This window comes from Homo sapiens, chromosome 21 (assembly GCF_000001405.40).
Source record: "Homo sapiens chromosome 21, GRCh38.p14 Primary Assembly".
Lineage (NCBI taxonomy): Eukaryota > Metazoa > Chordata > Mammalia > Primates > Hominidae > Homo > Homo sapiens.
In genome coordinates, this window is record NC_000021.9 from 41,914,323 (window position 1) to 41,934,635 (window position 20,313).

A 20,313-nucleotide genomic window follows, 5' to 3' on the forward strand; every position below is an offset into this window, starting at 1 on the left:
ATAAAAAAGGCAGGACAATTCCAGACAAATGAAAAAGGCCAAACCAATTATACTCCTTTCCCTCCTTGGCCTTCCCACGTGCAGAAACAGGATTGGATTTTTTACCATCTCTTGTTCCCGTTACATTTTCAGGTGCTTTCTGCAACCGTGGCAGGGCTCCCGCTGCACCCCCACGGGAGGATGCCACCAGAGAATCCAAGGCCCCCCGGAGCCCCCGACTCTGCTCAGGGGCTGGAAGAGCCCCTCCAGGCAGGCAGGCTCCCATCGTCACCCACCTGAGGCACCGGGCTCGCTGAGCAGCAAGACGTGGATGTTCCTCACCAGTAGCTTCAGCTCGTGAGCCCTTGGAGGTTTAGGAGGACAGGATTCCTGAGCAGTAGATGCAGCACACTGTAAGTTCTGAAAAAATAAAGAGCACTTTATTTTTGGTCTTCATGGGGAGATTGAGGGCCAAGGAAGTAGCCACTGGACTCCTGTTATGGGGGGTGGTGGCAGTGGGGTGTCTACAGGAAAACCTGCACAGGGAGCCCGAGCTCTGGGATCTGCTCTGAAACAATTTCCCTTCTCACATGAAGGGAGGGAGCCAATGAGCCATCGCCATCCTCCTGCCTGGGAGCATTTTCTACCCCAAATACAGCAAGTACAAGTAGCAGTGCATTCATCCACAGACAGGGTTCCCACAACTTACTTACCACGGGGGAAGATGGAGCTCACTTTGCCATGGGTCTAAACTATCTGACCCGGGCAGGTGCTTAAGAGCATGAGGACCTCTTCCGCTGGCTGCGGGCACTCATGGCCTGCTAGTACAGAGCAGGACACCAGACAGATGGGAACAGCCAGGGCTGTCAGCCCACACCCATTTCCCACCTCCACACAGAGTCCAACGTCCACATGAGGAAAGTCTATGCATACCCTAGCACTGCACAGGTGAGGGGACAGAGGCAGGGGCAGCTGGGACCAGCTTCTACCACATCACATCCTCCAATAGACACCACATCACATCCTCCAACAGACACCAGGGCGTTTCCAACAGAAAGCACCCCCAAATCTGGAAGAGCCCAGCTTCAAACCAGCATTTCCCAAACCGGGTTCCACCTGTCACTCACTGCCAAGAGTGTTCTTTTTTTTTTTTGAGACAGAGTCTCGCTCTGTTGTCCGGGCTAGAGTGCAGTGGTGCGATCTCAGTTCACTGCAACCTCTGCCTCCTGGGTGCAAGCGATTCTCCTGCCTGAGCCTCCTGAGTAGCTGGGATTACAGGTGCCCGCCACCACACCCGGCTAATTCTTTTTGTATTTTTAGTAGAGACAGGGTTTCACCATGTTGGCCAGGCTGGTCTCGAAATCTCCACTTCAGGTGATCCGCACGCCTCAGCCTCCCAAAGTGCTGGGATTACAGGCATGAGCCACCACGCCTGGCCAAGAGTGTTCTTTTATTTTATTTATTTTGTTCGTTTGTTTGTTTTAAGTTCTTTTTCTTTCCTTTTCTAATTATACTTTAAGTTTTAGGGTACATGTGCACAACGTGCGGGTTAAAGAGGCTCTGTTCGTTGCAAGCATTCAGGGACCCAGACGGGCTTCTCGGAGGTGGCGCCAGCCCCCATGCTGTGAGAAGTTTTCAGGCAGAGCTGAAAACTGGGTGCTGATTTGACTGAGCACTGATTTGACTGAGCACTTCTTCGGGGGAATGCTCACTAATGTCTCAAGAGACACAGGTGTTCTTTCCCACCTAGAAAACACTGTTCTGAGCCAGGCACTTCCCAAACGTGAGCTGAGGGTGCTGGAGCCCAAGAAGGAATTGCCGAAATCCCTGAAATCCAAGGACATGAGCACTGGGGACAGAGCAATCTACTTGTCTGGGACAGAGATGAAATCTTTTTTTTCAATTGCTGAGGGTGATGGTTAACTGTATGTGTCGACTTGACTGGGCCATGGGGTGCCCAGATATCTGGTCCAACATGATTCTGGGTGTGACTGACTGTGTTTCTGGATGAGATTAACATTGAACTTGGCACACCCAATGATGCAGATTTTCCTCCCTCTCGTGGGTGGGCCTCATCCAGTCCGTTGGAGGCGCAATGGAACAGAAAGGCTGAGTAAAAGGAAACTCCTTCACTGCTTGAGCCGGGAAAGGGGCCTTTTCCTGCCTTCAGACTTGGACTGAAACAGTGACTCTTCATGGGTCTTGAGCCCAGTGGCCTTTGGACTGGAATGTACGTCACGGGCTCTTTTAGGTCTCAGGGCTTCAGACTCGAACTAGAATTACCCCACAGACTCTCCCGGGGCTGCAGCTTACCAAATGCAGATCTCAGGACGTACCAGCCTTCATAACTGTGTGAGCTGATTACACACACACACACACACACACACACACACACACACACACACTCCCATTGGTTCTGTTTCTCTGGAAAATCCTGACCAATATAATATACATATATGCTATTTTGATTAAATAAACTGTACAAATTTATGGAAAAGCATGATTGAAGTTATGATCGTCTGGGTCCTATTAAATTCATGGATTCCAAAAATATACGACTGTTTTATGAAGCCGCATACATTTTGACATTAAAAGTTGATTGTCACATTCAGAACAGTCACCTCTGATGTGAAATAAGCTACTGTGACAGAAATACTGAAAGGGACAGCGCTGGGACTCTCCTCTCACCTCCCAAGAGGCATGGCCTGGTCCCCTCCATTTGGAGAGGCTGAGTGCCCCCAGGCCTCAGGCCCCTGGGAAGCCCCCCAGACATCCACACCCCTCCTGCTCTGCTCTGCTGGCCCGGTGCCCCTTCTGCATACTGCAGGCTTCGGGAGGGTGATGGTGCTTCCTTATACTCTTGTGACCCCCATAGCCAGGGCTTAGCAGCAAACACTGCCATCAACTGATATCTGTCCAGTGAAACAAAGTCTTCAGACTCTACCTACTGACAGCTGGTGACATCTGCAGACCAAGGACAGACATCACACAGGAATTTGTATTTTCAAACTGACTTCACCAAGAGCTAGATAATAAAGATGGACATTATAATAAAGATGTATTTTATCATGCTACATAAAACCACTGCCAAAAAAATATATTTTTTAAACTTCAGGGACTATAAGTGCCTGTTGTACGTAATCATGATAAAAAGATCAGCGTATGACTGAGAGAACTCACCTTAAACAAAGGATTACTGATGTGTTATTTAGGCCCATGAGGTTGACCAGGGCAAATGCTCTGGTTAAGAATTTAACCAGAAAAGTGAGTAGCGCCCTAATCAGATGGAATAGGGGGGCTCCAGCATGAGGAGGGAGGCAGGTGATATGGAAAAGGGGGTCGCACAGATGAGACTAGCCTCCTTTATCGTGTGCCTCCAAAGGACACAGACCTCCAAGAGGCAGGAGCTGTTGCAGGCAGGACCAGGGCAGCAGGCCGGCCCTAGCCCAGGCTAAACCATCTCTGTCTATCCCACCCACCTGGCTCTGCTTGCTTCTGGGGCAATGTTCTCAACACTGGCTGCTTTCCCAGGTACCTTGGTCCTGGAAAGATGAGGTCTAGGGCTCTGAATGGACAGGGAAATGTCAGGTTTTCCTTCCACTTCATGAAGCTTTGCAGCCCCATGCTCCAAACCCAAGGCTTTATCCCACATCCACCATCATGATCTCCAGCAAGCACCCGAGCCATCTTGGCTCTACCATGGGAGGTGGAGGAACGCTGGAACGCACACAGATTCTCCAAGAGAGGTGGGCCATGGTGCCTAACGGGGTTCAGATGCACCCACAGCACCCAGATGAGTTTACCTGAGCTTCCTTTACAGTCGTGGGCTTGGTAATCAGAACCACTGATGGAGAGGCAGAACCAGCCAAATGCTTCAAGATGTCCTTGAGAACGTCAGACATCGCACTTGTCTCAGCCACCTGGTCCTGGTGAAAGAGGAGAAAGTTGACAAATCGCCTTTGCAAGCCCACTCCCTGCTCCCAATCTCACGTCTTCAGGTGACTAAAACCATGCAAAGTAGGAAGGAAGGAAATTACCTTCAGATTTTAGCTCTGTCTTTGCAAAAACTGTGGAAAGAAAGGACGCCCTGCCCTTGGAAGCAGCCTTCGGACTCAGCCCAAGTTACGAGTGCAGCACCCTCACCGTGGGAGAGAGGGCCTGATCGTCAGACATGGTGGAGCGTCAAGCAGGTACCTACGGTGTCATTAGCCTTGGCTGCATATGAGTGCTAAAATCATCCCCAGCCAATTAAACCTGCATCTTGGGTGGGGCAGGGAAGGCTTCAGGGTTTTTTTTTTAAATGGCCAGGTGACTGCAGGTGCAGCTCAGGTGGGAGCCCTGCATCCAATCCATCAAAGCCATCCCCCAGCAGGCCCTGCCAAGCCAAAGGGCCCATCCACATCCTGAGAGGCCCAAGCCAGCCCCAGGAGGAGTGGCTGGGACAGGGAAGGAGGCCAGCAACACCAGCCATGCACTCAGTTCCCCACCGCAGACTGTCCTAACACACGTGCGTTCTCACGCCAATGGAAGAATCATAAAAACTTACGGACTGACCTCCCCCAGTGCTTTGGGCTGGATATTAACGGCCATTTCCGGCACACTGATGAAAGACCAGCTAATCTGGAGGTCCTCTCTCTTCTCCTTCATGTGGAACTCCAGCTATTAAAAAACAAGTTATTAGAGGGCCACTCTTTCCACCAAAGCCTTAATGTGCACGTGCGTGTGCATGTGACTGTGTGAGCATGTGTGTGTGCATATATGCATGTGAGCATGTGTCTATGTGAGCATATATGAGTGCATGTGAGTGTGCGTGTATGCGCATGTGTGCATATGAGCATGTGTGCTCATGTGTGCATGTATGAGCATGTGTGTGCATGTGAGTGTGAATGTGTGCATGTGCATGTGTATTTGAGCGTGTGCGGAAGTGTGCATGTGAGCACGTGTGCCTGTGTGTATGTGTGCGCATGTCTGCATCAGTGTGCATGTGTGTATGTATGTGTGTACCTGCTCATTTATTCACATATTTTCACAGAAAACTGCTTAGCTTTCCACTTGGCATACAATGTGCTTTCAAAATGGAGAGCAGGACCCCAAACTCTCTTTACCCCCTGCCCTTCCTGCCCCTTCTCTGGCCTCAACCTACCCCTCAAAGAGGAACCTCAGCATTGGTGGTCGACAACCAGATGCCATCAAACCTTGCAGTCTATTTAACATAAATAGTTTGCTGTGCTTTGCATTTCTCCTTCTGGGAGTATCCGCAAGGCATAAAGGAAAGAGGAGTGAGAGAAGGGCCCAGGGCGCCTCATTCTAATCCTGGGCGTGGGCTCCCCTGCCCCACACTCAAACAGCCCTGAAGATTGTGTGCAGCACAAAGCCATCTTTACTGTCTCTTGCTGGGGCCGCCACAGCAGCCTCTAACTGGACTCCATCTCTAAGGATGCCTCATCCCACCCTGTCCATTTGGGAGACAGAACAGCGGCCCCCAAAGATGTTCACCCCCTAATCCCTGGAACTTGTGACTGTGAGACCCTACAGGGCACAGGAGACTTGGCAGGTGCGACAGGGAGAGGACCTCAAGATGGGGAGATGACCCTGGGTCCTTCCGAAGAGCCCAGTGGAAACACCTGAGTCCTGAAGAGTGGGGGAGCACGGGAGAAGAGGGGCCAGGGCATGTGACGTGAGGACTGCAGGCATCCCTGCGGGTGTGGACGTGGAGGAAGGCACCCTGAGCCAAAAAATGGGGTGCCTCAAGGAGCCGGAAATGGCCCTCCACTGACAGCCACAAGAAAATGGAACTCAGTCCCGTAATCCCATGGAATGAAATTCTACCAACAACCCCAAAAGCAACGAACAGACTCCCCTGTGACTGCCGCTAAGGCAGGCAGCCCTGACAGCTCCTGGATTTGGGCCTGGCCGGACACCTGGCCTCCTTCACGATGGCATCACCAATCTGTGCTGTTTTAAACTGTTCAGGGTCATTTGTTTCCACAGCCATAGAAAGCTAATATTGCATCCTTTATTCTTCAGCTAGATGCTCCGTCCAAAGCAAAAATCTTAACTTTGCAGATCTCCATTCCTTCCCCACTCCTAAACAAAAGGGAAGAACGACTTCAGACTATCTGAGTAAGTGGACTCTCACCTCATGCTAGAAGCAGGGTAAGAGAAAAACGATGACTTCTACTTCATAACTGTCTCCAACCTGCCTTCCTTGTCTGGTAATTCTAGGAAAAAAATTAGGTAATTCTAGTGGAAAAGTGCACTTTAATTGTTTTGACACAGACAGCTCAGTCGATGGAGACCACTCTTGCATCTCTGGTTGGAGGAACATCAGAGAAGCGGGAACGCCTCCTGCCGCTAGCATCAATTATTTACCCATCTCTAGCAGCTGCCTCTGCGCTGAGAGGTAATCCACATATTGGTTCCTAACTGTGTTAACAGATCAAAGATACAATTGTGTTCCTTCTGTGTGAGCTGCTTAAAATGGCATGAATGCTTTGATATAATAAACACAATGTCAGAAATGACATTTCTTCATTTGTGTTTGTGATCCTCTCTGGTCTCATTCAGTTCCAAAACATGCATCAAATGTTGGGTAAATATGACCCAGACTTTGCAGGTTATTTTCTCATCACATTGTCCAAAACATCTGGGGGATGTAGGAGAGCATGAACGCCTCACAAATCCACGATGCCAACTCTTCACCTCTTCAATTCCCTCAAAGGGGGTGCTGCTGGAGTGGGGCTGAGGAACTAGCGGGGTGGATTTCAGAAAAAAGCCACTTAGGTAGCCAGGAAATCTTGTTAGTGCTGGCTATTTAAAACCATGCCTTTGTAGGAAAAGCATACAGGATGTCACCTTCCCTTGTGATTGGGAATTCTGCATGACTTGAGCTCATCCCCCAAATTAGGAGTCAAGTCCAAGGACACGGGACACGGGAGATGAAACAGGGCATTGAACTGGCAGTGACCCTCGAAACAAGCCCAGACATCTGCAATTTTTAAATACCAGCTAAAGAGGAACTCCAGTGAATATCTGGCCGGATGTGAGAGACGCACAGCTCTCTGATGATTTGGGCAACCAAAGTCTCACTGGGCTTATTGTAATTATTAGAGATCCGTAAGTCTCTCTCTATAAAATTATAGAGATGTGTAAAATTATATATATGTCTTTATTCTTATGTCTATTATGAAAACATGGAATAATGGTAATACTAATTTTTTAACTTATAAAAATAATAAGGGGGTTCTTTTTAAATCAACTTTGTCAAAAACTGAAAAGAGGAATGCCCCACGGCAGCCACTCAGCTGTGTTTCCAAGCTGCAACCAGCGCTGGATTCGGAACCAGAACTACTTTTCTCCTCTCAGATGCCACCTGCCTTATCATATCCGTCAACAACACCCTGCCTCATTCAAATGCCCGAAAGAGGCAACCCCTGAGTTTATTATAAATGTATGTGTGTGTGTGTAGTGTGTGTGTGTAATGTGTAGTGTGTGTGATCATTTCCTACATAGAAAATCCTATATGAAAGGTTACAGTTTGAAAATTATGACATGAATGATAATTAATAAAAACATGAACGTTACAGCCCTCTGACTCACACCATGCTCACTCTTCACATTTCTGAGAACTGTGACGGGTCTCATAACTTGCAAAGTCTACACATCTTTACCTGTAAATGGAAAGGGGAGAGCCGCATGTCGTACAGCCGGCATCCAGCACCCAAGGCAGGCGTCTCGCTGACCAAGAACTGAATAGCCTGGCCCACCACGTGACAGACCACCACCTGGAGGAGGCACAGGTAAGGGAGAAAACTGTATCCAAAACAAAGGACAGCGCGTGCATACGCATCTTCTTCTTCTTCTTTTTTTTTTTTTGAGACAAGGTCTCACTCTGTCGCCCAGGCTGGAGTGCAGTGGCGCGATCTCAGCTCACTGCAACCTCCACCTCCCCAGCTCAGGCGATCTTCCCACCTCAGCCTCCTGAGTACATGAAACTACAGGGGTGTGCCCCCACACCCACCTAATTTTTGTTTTTGTCTTTTTTGTAAAGATGGGCTCTACCTGTATTACTGAGGCTGGTTTTGAACTCCTGAGCTCAAACAATCTTCCCACCTTGGCCTCCCAAAGTGCTGGGATTGCAGGCATGAGCCACTGTGCTCAGCTGCCATAGGCATCTTTTTTTTTTTTTTTTGAGACGGAGTCTCACTCTGTCACCCAGGCTGAAGTGCAGTGGAGCAATCTCGGCTCACTGCAACCTCCGCCTCCCTGGTTCAAGTGATTCTCCCACCTCAGCCTCCCAAGTAGCTGGGATTACAGGTGTGTGCCACCATGGCCAGCAAATTTTTGTATTTTTAGTAGAGACAAAGTTTCACCATGTTGGCCAGGCCAGTCTCGAACTCCTGGCCTCAGCTGATCTACCCACCTCAGCCTCCCAAAGTGCTGGGATTACAGGTGTGAGCCACCACGCCTGGCCTAGGCATCTTTATATCAAAATAATCTGGACTTTATATGTTAGCAAGGATACAAATTTAGAGTTTCAAAGTTGGATAAATATTCAGATTAAAACCTTTTCTATAATATAGTTTGAAAACCAGAAACAATGTTTCAAATCTTTGCTTCCTGATGACTTTCTTAGCAGCTAAAGTCTTGACCAAATCTAGTTATCATGCGCTTTCCACATGTAATACAGTCTTTTTCCTTTTTTTTTTTTTGGAGATGGAGTTTCACTCTGTCGCCCAGGTTGGAGTGCAGTGGCACAATCTTAGCTCACTGCAACCTCCGCCTCCCGGGTTCACACGATTCTCCTGCCTCAAACTCCCGAGTGGCTGGGTTTACAGGCGTGTGCTACTACTCCCGGCTAATTTTTTGTGTTTTTAGTAGAGACGGGGTTTCACCATTAGCCAGGAGGGTCTCGATCTCCTCACCTCGTGATCCGCCCACCTCGGCCTTCCAAAGTGCTAGGATTACAGGCATGAGCCACCGTGCCCGGCCAACAAAGTCTTTTTCTTTAAATATCATCTTGTTCTATTTCTCCACAATAGCTGATTTTTAATTCCCCAAATGTTTCCACATTCATACACAGTCAAAGCCATTAGCCAAGTTCTTTTGCTAAAAATGAGTCTTAAAGAGAAAGTAAGTTATAGATGTTAGAAGTAAAAAAAGTTTTCTTAAATTACCCAGAACACAATGGGTTGCTTCCACCTAAATAATTTCGAGGCGATCATGGTTTTCAAAAAGGTGGGAGTAATTGGAAAAACATACAAAGTATCAAACAATTATAAAATTATGCAGCCGTACCAAAACCAGAATTATAAAATGAGCTCGTTGAAGAAACTGTCAGACAGAGAAAGATAATAACCTCAGGAATAAACCAAACTGTGGTTTCCTGACATAAATCATAATCATACAGTATTAAGAGGGGTGCTTTTCACAGCTACCATGGCACAGAGAGAGATCTAGTTTCTGCCACAGATTCCTCTACAGAAGCTGATGTAGAATGAGAGGTCAGACCCCTCCCCGCTCCCCTCCCGGGGGCAGAGGGCCAAGCAGACACGTGTGGGATAATTACCAGGCCAGGTGCCAGGTGTGTACTGGCCAGGAGGAGGAGAGGGGAGGCCAGGGGCACAGTGGGCTGGACCACAGGGCAGGCACAAGGGGGTTCCGTAGGTGGCCAGTGTTTGGCCAAAAAGCAAAGCTACCAGGAGCTGAGGGTAAGTCAGACTGACCTCCTCATTCCCAAAAGAACCACTGACTCCACTGCAGGGAGTCACAGGACAGGAAGAGAAAATTCTTTAATTCTCTGGTGGATTTATCAGAATCTAAAATACCAAATGGAAAGATTATCAAAATAATTACTCAGTCAGGGCCTGCTATTCCCCCAAGTTCAGGGCTAGGACATTCCCCTGTACTTTCTCATCTGCTGGCTCCTGGCCGCAGCCAAGCCCTGGGTCCAGCTCTTCCCACCAGTGGCCCATCCCACTCTGGAACAAAAACGGAACCTGGGCACTAAGGCCCGGGCAGGGGTCAACATCCAATATCCACAACCAAATACCTCAATGCCACAGAGCTAGAAAAAGAAAATCCTGCCTTCTCTCAATATTGGCAGAAAGTCGTGCAACTCTTTCTACCGGTTCTTATAACGCCACGTTCAGAAGACTGATACACATGAGTTAATTACATATTTCCATCATCTCCAGAGTTCACAAAGGGCCAGAACAAAAAAATGTTTGTATAAGAAATGTTGTCTATTCATGTTAAAAATAAATGATCTATAAACAGTCCTTTACGGAGGAACATGCTTTGTGGCCAGATGAGTTACACGCACCAATGGCATGACACTGAGAAAATTCCCTGTCCTTGGTCTCAACAGCCCACTCCTTTTACTGCTTAAAGTAAAAAATAAAAAATAAAAATAAATTTAAAAACCCAACCCTGACTCTGAGCACTGCATAATTCCTCTGGAGCCTTCTCTACTAAGCTAATCAGCATTGTACCAAGAAAACAGACTCAGAGCCTCAACCCGAGCAAGAAAGAATTTCATTTTCTTTCGTATCCAGTTCTGCAGAAAGCTTCCCACCACGCACTCCCTGATACACAGAGAACCAAGCACTTGATTAAAAGCAAGCAAATAAATAAGTAAATAGATAAAAAGACTTTAAAACTTCTAGAATGCGGGACTCCAAAGCTCATAAGTAATCACTGAAGCCCCATCACTAAGGTAATGTAATCTCTACATTCTACTCTAGGACAGAATGTGTGATGTCTTTTCATAGTAACCCCCTGGCGTGTCTTCCCCAACCCTAGGGCTTCGCTACCCTCTAAATAAAACCTACAGTGCAGACCAAGCCTTTCTTAGCCTCCCCTCAGAATTTGGCTAGAAAAGTTAATTAAAGAAACAATTTAGGCCGAGTGTGGTGGCTCACGCCTGTAATCCCAGTGCTTTGGGAGGCTGAGGCAGGAGGACTGCTTGAGTCCAGGAGTTCAAGACTAGCCTGGGCAACATAGCAAGACTCCATCTCTTAAAAAAAAAAAAATTAGCCAAGCATGGTGGTGTGCACCTGTAGTCCCAGCTACTCAGAAGGGTAAAGTGAGAGGATCACTTGAGCCCAAGGGTTTGAGGCTGCAGTGAGCCGTGATTGTGCCACTGCGTTCCAGCAGAAAGAAACATTCTGAACCTGCCTCAAATTTTTACATGGCCAAACAAAATACTGCTCCTGCTCCACTTGGAGGGATAAACATTAGGGCCAAGTCCTCTTCCAGCGCCAGCCCCTGCCTCTGCCACCCTAACAAATAATGCCCCATTTGCCAAATGGACGGGGACAAAATGGAGAGGAGATTTTAAAAACAAGTAATCTTCTTTTAGTGTATTAAGGTGTTATCCACAATGGGGATTAAATTCTCCCAACCCATGCCAACAGTGGCAGGGCCCCCACGGGCTGAAAGGGGTTCCTCGCATCACAGCAGAAGTCAGGATCGCCTGACACAGGTAAGCAGCTCCTCCTCTCTAGTTAGCCTTCCTAAGTGGCCAGATGTCAAGGGTTAACATCTACCTAAATACCCACGAGTGGGTAGAGACCCTGATTTTGACCCTAGATCCTCCCTCCCACAATCAGCCATGGTCATGAGAGCCTCTTCTTAGCTTTCCAAGTGAGCTCTTCGGGGAATTCCAGTTCTATTCAATTGACAGACTGGGCCCTGAGTGTTTCCCTCTGAAACAGTCTGCTATTAATACAGGATTTTAAAAAGTTAAATAGAAGCAATTATTTGGCATAGGCGGCAGTGACAGTGAACTCCTCAGAGGACAGGAGTGAACCCCCAGCCCCAGGGAAGAACTCCACAGAGCCCAGGTCTGCATCTGCAGGAGCGAGCTCCCTCGACAACAACCAACCATCCCCCAACCTGCATTTTTTTGACATTTTTTTTCCCCAAAACAAGCAAAGATTATTTACATAAAGCATTTGAAAATCAAGCAACAGAAGGGTGAACTTTGTATTCCAAATAAACAGCTTCCTCTCTGTATAAGTGACAGAGTGTTTTTCGGAGTGGGGGGCTATTCACGGTAAGTCAGGGTCTCCACATGGAAAGGCCAAGGGGGGACTCACGGTTGGCAGGTGAGGGTTTGGGTCGGGGAGCCCTGGGCAGCAGATGGAAGCACCACGGGGAGGGGAAAACAAGACTGAAGGCTGAAGAGCAGGCTGAGCGGGGAGGCCTTCATTCACCTTCTCGGTGCTCTCTCCAGCCTCAACACCTTGACCTCATGTAGTCACATACCTATGCAAACAGCGCTTATCTGGAAACTATTCCTTTGTTTAGACTTGGGGCCAAAAAATTCCAGGCACAGTTACTCCAGATTTTGCTACTGTTCACCAACAAGAGAGCCCCTGAGTCTTCAGATCTCACTGTGCCCTTTCACTTTCCTTTTCAATTAAGCTTCCTGTACAGCTGCCTCGGCTCCTTCTCTTAGAACACTCTAGAGAACTGGAAATCATGTAATTACTTTTGTCTCCAAAGAAACTAGCAATGCAGCTGAGGAAATGTATACAAAAGGTTTAGATACTCGAATAATTTTCACTTTCATCACATTCTGTAACACCCAAGGAAAGAACTCCCAAATAAAAGGAAGGCAAAGACCCTTCAGTAATCATCTGGATTTCCTAGTCAGATGTCTTTCCCCACTCTGCAAGCGAGTCTCACCTCTGTAAATATCCTTTAAGACAGTATGAACTGGATATAAAATACTATTTCTACTCTGGAACTGGGACTCAATTTAAAAAGTAAACTCCATTAGAGCTAAAGATTATCCCAACATCTACAACATTTAATCCTGTTTGCCCACTAATTCAAAATAAACGGCTAAAGATGTATTTTTATTTATTTATTTTTGAGATGGAGTCTCACTCTGTCCCCTAAGCTGAAGTGCAGTGGCACAATCTTGGCTCACTGCAGCCTCCGCCTCCTGGGTTTAAGCAATTCTCCTGCCTTAGCCTCCTAAGTAGCTGGGAATACGAGTGTGCAGCACCATGCCCAGCTAATTTCTGTATTTTTAGTAGAGACAGGGTTTCACCATGTTGGCCAGGCTGGTCTCAAACTCCTGACCTGAGCCTGCCTCAGGCTCTCAAAGTGCTGGGATTACAGGCGGGAACCACCGCACCGGGCTTAAAACTGTATTTATTTATTTTTTGTTTTTTGAGACAGAGTCTCACTCTGTTGCCCAGGCTGGAGTGTGGTGGCAGGATCTCGGCTCACCAAAACCTCTGCTTCCTGGATTCAAGCGATTCTCCTGCCTCAGCCTCCCGAGTAGTTGGGACTACAGGCACGTGCCACCACACCTGGCTAACTTTTGTATTTTTAGTAGAGACGGGGTTTCACTATGTTGGCCAGGCTGGTCCCGAACTCCTGACCTCATGATCCACCCACCTTGGCCTCCCAATTTGCTGGGATTATAGGTGTGAGCCACTGTGCCCGGCCAAAGATGTATTTTTATAAGAAATTCTCGCAGGGGATTGAGATGAAAAGGGTTGGAAACAAGATGGTGGCCAACCCCAAGAGCTGCTGTTTATCCTCTTTTGGGGGAAGCCTCCACCACGTGGGGCTCCTGCGTCAACCTGACTCCAACCCCGCCCCCAGCAACACTCTCCTCCCTTTTCTTGTTACATACTTTAAACAAGAAAGCCTTTCAGTAATGCTGCACTGCAAGGAGGTGTTGTTAATGCATCACACGGTTTAATGTGGCCATTCTACACAGAAAGATCTGTTTGTGAATGTGTTGTCTTTCATCAAGTTTACACTAAAAGACAAAATCAAGACAGTTCCTTTAACATGAAGAGCAGAAGGGAAGTAGGTCTTCTCCAGGCTGGCAGCTAGTGCTTCCTGACAGGGCCAGGCCACTTGGCCACACCAACCTCCTACGCCCCATGCTCTGTATTCCGACCAACCGACGAAACCTCGGGGCCACCACAGGTCTTTCACTCTGTTTCCTCCAGGCCAAAGTCGGGCTGCACCTGCAGGCTGGCTCGGCCCAGAATTCCATACACCATCATCCAGACGAACAGGTGGCCTCGTGGGAGTCGCATTCAGGGGCAGTATCTGCCCTGGATCTCAGAGGACGGGGTCTCCAATGAGGAACCTCCACCACCCGCCCTAGGAAAGACCCTCATTCAAAACAATTTCACAACCTGTTAGCATTTTAGCATAAATTCCAGGTTAATGGAATACCTGGAATTTCAAATCATGTAAAGCAAAGCAAAAAAAAAAAAAAAAAAAAAAAAGACAACTGAGCCGAGCTTCCTGTTTACAGTTAGCTAGAGTGACAAATGTGGACAATTTTAAATCATGGTGCCCATACCAAACAGGCAGCCCCCTGAGTTATGGACAGAGCAGGGGACCGCCCCCCACCCCCCAATCCCGCAGCTCTCAGGGCGTATTTCAGCATCAGGTAGAACACACGTGCACACAACACACCACACACACCCAGGGCGAGTTATGGGTTTCCCCTAGAGAGGATATGGAATAAGGTTCTGGGGGAAATTCCACACGATCGTCCAGTTCCGTCTGTAGCTGTGGTTTTACAGATGCAAAGCGTGATAGTGCTGACCAGTTCTCCTTTCCCTATCTCTGTTGTCTTTTTTATGGTGAGGATGTGGTGGGGGCACGAGCTTAAGTGAAATAATAAAAGTGATAATATCATACCTGTAATCTCAGCACTTTGGGAGGCCAAGGCAAGAGGATCACTTGAGTCCATGAGTTTAAAATGAGCCTGGGCAATATAGTGAGATCCCACCTCTAAAAAATATTTAAAAAGTAAAAAAAAAAAAAAGTAATAAAAATGCAAAAAGATCACACTAATGGCATGGTTTATTTTGTGCTGTGGTTGGAGCTAGATTCTGGAGGCCAAATGAGGTTCACTCTGGCCTCTGCTGCGTCAGAGCTCCATACCTTGGCCAAGTGACTGCACCTCTCTGCCTCAGTTTCTCCTTCTGTACAGTGGGATGATGCTTCTGACACAGGAGCATGGTGAGCTCTCATGAGAAGGGATACAAGCTCTATACCCAGGGCCTGGGCACACCTGATGCCATCACATGCCACAACGTGTGCCATGCGGGGTACTGCACGGGCACAGGCCTGCCCTGCTTCCCACAGCCCTGCACGGGAGGGGCCCCTACACAACAGACACAGACCCTGTGGCTCAGAGAAAGAAGGAAGTGCCCTAAACGAGCCCAGATCCAATCAGGGTCTCCCTGGCTTCTGAGATGGGCCTTTCCCCAGACTAGGTGGGTTATAACTTTTATTTAAAACTTTCAGTTCCAGCTGATGGTTATACCATTGGGAGCCTCCATTTACTTAGAAATGAAACTGAAAACAGACAACTAAAGCATGTCCAGGACTCCTGGCTCCACACCATGCCAGGCGACATCACTCAAGTCTCCAAAGATCACCAAGTGTCCAGCTCAGCTCCTGCCCTCATCAGCAAGTTTTCCAAATGAAAGTTACGTTGAAAGCCACAGTTACCATACTGTAACCAGAATTCAGGCAGTGGCTGCTAGCAGAGTATGATGAACAAGAGCAGGTCTGGTATAAAGACAGTGACTTTGCATTCCAAAGCTTAGCTTAGGGGAAGAACAGGCTTCTGCCTTAAGGGTACCCCTTTGCTTTTGGGGCAGAAAGCAGGCACTTTCAAAAGGGGGCTTGGCATGAATGTCATGAAAGGGAGGAAGCGAGCAGGTGAGGGTTCACCTAACTTGCTTTGGCGCCTTATCTATTGAGTGTCCAAGCTGGTGACCAGTGGTGCCTTAGTGGACAGGACTAGATTGTAACAGCCGAAACTCTTCCGGTGGGAGAGAGTTTCATCATGGGCACACTCTGGGTTATAAATCGACTGTTCTCTCTCCAGGCAACCTCCTGGTGGGTGAGGGTTTCATTCTGGAGCACCTGAGCACATGGTTAGGTAAGCTTTCCCGGTAGGCAGTTTCTGGTGAAAGGGAGGTAAGAGGCTATAATTGCATTTCTGAAGGGCTAAGTAAAAAGTGGGGAGCAGGGGGAAGTGGAGAAAGAAAAGAGAAAAAAATAATAATAAACCAACAATAACTCATACTCTTTTTCTTAGAAAATGGGGGTATTCAGGGCCAGGCACAGTAGCTCACACCTGTTATCCTAGCACTTTGGGAAGCCGAGGTGGGCGGATCAAGAGGTCAGGAGATCGAGACCATCCTGGCTAACATGGTGAAACTCCATCTCTACTAAAAATACAACAAATTAGCCGGGCGTGGTGACACGTGCCTGTAGTCCCAGCTACTCAGGAGGCTGAGGCAGGAGAGTCACTTGAACCCGGCAGGCGGAGGTTGCAGTAAGCCAAGATTGCGCCACTGCACTCCAGCCTGGGCAAGAGAGTGAGATTCTGTCTCAAAACAAAACAAAAAAAAAAAGAAAGAAAGAAAGAAAATGAGGGTATTCGGTTACAATATTTCCTAAAAGAAATGCAACTCTTTTTCAGTGAGTGACCTGTCACAGCACAGTTCCTAAGCCCTGATTCACATTCATCTTTTTACTGATGTGTGGACCTCAGACCCCCAGGGAAGGGGTCATGAAAAGCTTCTGAACCCCCACGTGCCAGGGAAGGGCTGTGGCTGAACCTGCGGGGGAAGGGCTGGCTCTCAGGTGGCTTGAGATATGGAAATAGGAATTTCCTCCTTCTAGGTCAAACATTCTGGAGCAAACCTCTCCCAAGACATGAGGAAAGACAACATAGGTAGAAACTTGTTACTCTTGTGTAAGAAGGTAATTGAAGTCTAGGAGAAATAAATGCACTCGGTGCATGTTGGGACTAGAAGAGAATGCAGAGAGAGCCCCGGAGAAAAGTTTAAAGGCCATGCTCTGCTGCCTCCAAGCCAGCCCTCACTGGAGCCTGCTCACAGCAGCCGTGGGCAGGAGCGTGCTTCCACACCCGGTCTGAGCAGATACCCTGCAAGGCAGGCACCCAGGAGAATTCCCTTAGGAAAATGCCACAGCCCTGCAGGGCCTGCTGCCTGTGATAAATATGTGTTTGGTCTTTGTTCCTGATGCCTGGCACAAAGCTCTGAAAACCCTTGGAATCTCCCGAGAGATAAGAGCGTCTTTTGAGAAGAGTGTCTTTTTTTTTTTTTTTGAGACGGAGTCTTGCTCTGTCGCCAGGCTGGAGTGCAGTGGCGCAATCTCGGCTCACTGCAACCTCTGCTTCCCAGATTCAAGCAATTCCCCTGCCTCAGCCTCCCAAGCAGCTGGGACTACAGGCGCGTGCCACCACGCCCAGCTAATTTTTTGTATGTTAGTAGAGACGGGGTTTCACCATGTTGGCCAGGATGGTCTTGATCCCCTGACCTCGTGATCCACCTGCCTCAGCCTCCCAAAGTGCTGGGATTACAAGCGTGAGCCACCATGCCTGGCCAAGTGTCTTTTATATGCTGACAAAAGGGCTGTTGGGGGGGACCCCAGATAGCACCAGGATGGGGGCTGGTCACTTGAGAAACTTTGAGCCCCACCTCCAGCATCCCACTACCCCACCTCCAACATCCCACCACTCCACCTCCAACATCCCACCACCCCACCTCCAGCATCCCACCACCCCACCTCCAGCATCCCACCACCCCACCTCCAGCATCCCACCACCCCACCTCCAGCATCCCACCACCCCACCTCCAGCATCCCACCTCCCCACCTCCAGCATCCCACCTCCCCACCTCCAGCATCCCACCACCCCACCTCAAGCATCCCACCACCCCACCTCCAGCATCCCACCACTCCACCTCCAGGGAGGGCAGAGGGGCTAGAGGTCGCATTCAATCACCTATGGCCAATGATGTAATCCATCATGCCTAGCGAATGAATCCTCCATAAAAACCCTGAAAGGATGGGTTTGGGGAGCTTCCAAGGTGGTGAATACATCAAGGTGCCGGGCGGGTGGCTCGTCCAGGCAGGGCATGAAGCTGCTGGAGTCCCTGCCCTCCCCCTCCGCCCGCCTAAGCATCCCTTCGATGTGGCCGATCCTGAGTCATATCCTTCACAATAAACTAGTAATAGTTAGTAAACTGTTTTCCTGAGTTCTGTGCTATGAGCCGCTCTAGTAAAATATGTGAACCTCAGTGGGGTGGGTTGGGGAAGTCTGCCATCTACAGATAGTCAGAAGAACGGGGGCAACCCGGAGCTTACGCCTGGTGTCTGAAGTGGGGGCCGTCTTGCGGGACCTAGCCCTGGGCCTTTGGGATCTGTGTTAAGTCTGAGTAATGTCAGAATGGAGTTGAACTGTAGGACACCCAGTTGGCACCAGAGTTGAAGAACTGATAATCGGTGTGAGAAAAACCCCCACACATTTGGTGTCCAAAGTGTTGTGAGTAAACATAGTTGAGACTGCTCCTGGCCGCAGCCGCGGCTGGGCCGGGTGTGGACTCTGCACTTATCTATCGTTGGTCCTGTGGGATGACTCAAGCTGCTCCAAGTTCTGGAAGACCGCACTCTGTGTAGACTATGCAGAGAGGGTTTTGCAGATGAACCAGATATTTGCAAAGGTGATGACTTGGACACACCGAGGCCTTCAGGGTGGCAGGAGAAAGTCCAAGAAAAAGGCATCCAGTGGGCACGGCAGCCAGTTTCATTGGGAGAGGGACCCACAGGGAGACTCCAGATGGAACACCAGTCAGGGGTTTGTCGGCGGAGAGGAGGTGGGGAGCTCAGGCCAGCCAGTCCTCGGCCTTATCCTTCCGATCAGAGATGGCATTACATAACAGACAGGCTGGGTTCCGGCGGCCTTGTCCCTGTCTTGGCTCAAATGCCAACCACATGTCCCTTGTCAAGGCTGAGTTAGAAAGATAGGAAGAGGCAACCTGACACCAAAGTGTGAGCTTTGAAAGGGAGGGGCGATGCCCTGGAATGAGAAGTTCCTGTTTCTTTTCTACCTCTTATTTGTCACAGGTCCTCAAGTTCTGTTACAGTTTTTTTTTTTCCTTCTCAAGAATTATGCCCAGCTGAGGGAACACGAGGCGGTGCAGACACGGAATTAGGTGTAAATTTGGAGACCATGGGGGTGTGTGGCTTAGATACCAGAGAAGAGGAACACCACTGTGAACCCGCTGCCCTACACGGCAGTTCTAGGGCTGAACTCACCGAACAGTGTTAACAAAAAGAGGCCTTGCTGTCTTATCATTTTTATTTAACGCACGAACATTAAGCAGTGTCTCACCCTGGACATTTTACAAGAGATTAAGCTGGCTGGATGCCTTTGCAAAAACAGTGCCCTAAAAATGTGTCATGTTTGGCCAAGATGCTCATCCAAGAATGGAAAAGGCCATGTACACAATCCAAGCACCCGAGGGTGTTCTACTCCCAACTGACCCTTCCCAGGAGCCCGGGCAGATCCCAACAGGACTTCCTCCTTGTGGGTATGCATAGGATCCAGGCTGGCAAGAGCGACCAGGCTCCTCCTCCCGCACTCACAGCCCCGTGAAAGGGGAGGGGAGGGGAGGGAACCCGTCTACTCAACTGGTGGGCTCACCCCACCTCAAAGGACAGTGTGAGCCACAGCCACGACAAGGCAGTGGCAAGGGCTCCTTTCCTCATTTGGCCACAAAAACATAAAAGTCAAGAGCTACGTGGAAAATTGTTGCAAAACAAAACAAGAGTCCGTGTGTGTGTGCTTTTCCTCCGGCAGGAAAAAGCTTCCGAGAACACTGTTAACAGCAGCCTCATCCCAGCAGGCGGCAGCAGGAGATAGATGGTTAAAAAAAAAAAAGTTTGGACATTTTTATTTTTAACTTTTTAATGACCATGAACTATTTCTGTAATTATATCAAAACAAATACAATTTAATCATCCACTTTCACCAGGTGAGGTGGCTCACACCTATAATCTCAGCACTTTGGGAGGCAGAAGACGATGGATTACTTGAGCCCAGGAGTTCAAGACCAACCTGGGCTACAAAGTGAGACCCCATTTCTACAGAAAAAATAAAAAAACTAGCCGGGCATGATGCTGCATGTCCGTAGTCCCAGCTACCGGGGAGGCTGAGGCAGGAGGACTGTTGAGCCCAGGAGGTGGAGGCTGCAGTGAGCAGTGTCTGTGCCAGTACACTCCAGCCTAGGCGACAGAGTGAAACCCTGTCTCAAAAAATAAAAAACAGTCCACTTCCTAAGGCTGCTTTTCTGACACTATGTATCAAGATCCTGAAACATGTGCTAGTCCACTTCCTAAGGTTGCTTTTCTGACAATATGTATCAACATCCTTCAAAATGCACGTACTCTTTCTCAAGTACCTCTACTCTTCTACTTCTAGGAACAGTGAGGAAATAAACACATGAGCAAAAATAACAA

At 48.6% G+C, this 20,313-nt stretch overlaps 1 protein-coding gene across 5 annotated transcripts in view, besides 3 other annotated features; it reads right to left on the reverse strand.

Annotated features, from left to right (window-relative positions):
* The window catches only part of C2CD2 (C2 calcium dependent domain containing 2), a 68,907-nt gene that overhangs the window by 29,211 nt on the left and 19,383 nt on the right, over positions 1-20,313 (reverse strand). For 3 of the 5 annotated variants that reach the window (NM_015500.2, XM_011529522.3, XM_011529523.3), the window contains exons 3-6: positions 7,650-7,763; positions 4,534-4,638; positions 3,783-3,905; positions 276-399 (exon numbers count right to left, since the gene is read on the reverse strand). In NM_015500.2, coding sequence (NP_056315.1) covers positions 276-399; positions 3,783-3,905; positions 4,534-4,638; positions 7,650-7,763 — 466 coding nt within the window. Of the gene's footprint in view, positions 1-275; positions 400-3,782; positions 3,906-4,533; positions 4,639-7,649; positions 7,764-12,080; positions 12,215-12,249; positions 12,382-20,313 lie in introns of those variants that run through there. The other 2 variants (NM_199050.3, XM_005261109.5) reach the window with 2 other exon arrangements.
* Positions 12,169-12,228: an enhancer, noted in NCBI's record as "active region_18494". NCBI's record gives its function as "activates an Ori minimal core promoter by ATAC-STARR-seq in GM12878 lymphoblastoid cells {active_cell/tissue: GM12878}" and the evidence as "EXISTENCE:reporter gene assay evidence [ECO:0000049][PMID:35858748]".
* Positions 12,269-12,488: an enhancer, noted in NCBI's record as "active region_18495". NCBI's record gives its function as "activates an Ori minimal core promoter by ATAC-STARR-seq in GM12878 lymphoblastoid cells {active_cell/tissue: GM12878}" and the evidence as "EXISTENCE:reporter gene assay evidence [ECO:0000049][PMID:35858748]".
* Positions 15,316-15,395: an enhancer, noted in NCBI's record as "active region_18496". NCBI's record gives its function as "activates an Ori minimal core promoter by ATAC-STARR-seq in GM12878 lymphoblastoid cells {active_cell/tissue: GM12878}" and the evidence as "EXISTENCE:reporter gene assay evidence [ECO:0000049][PMID:35858748]".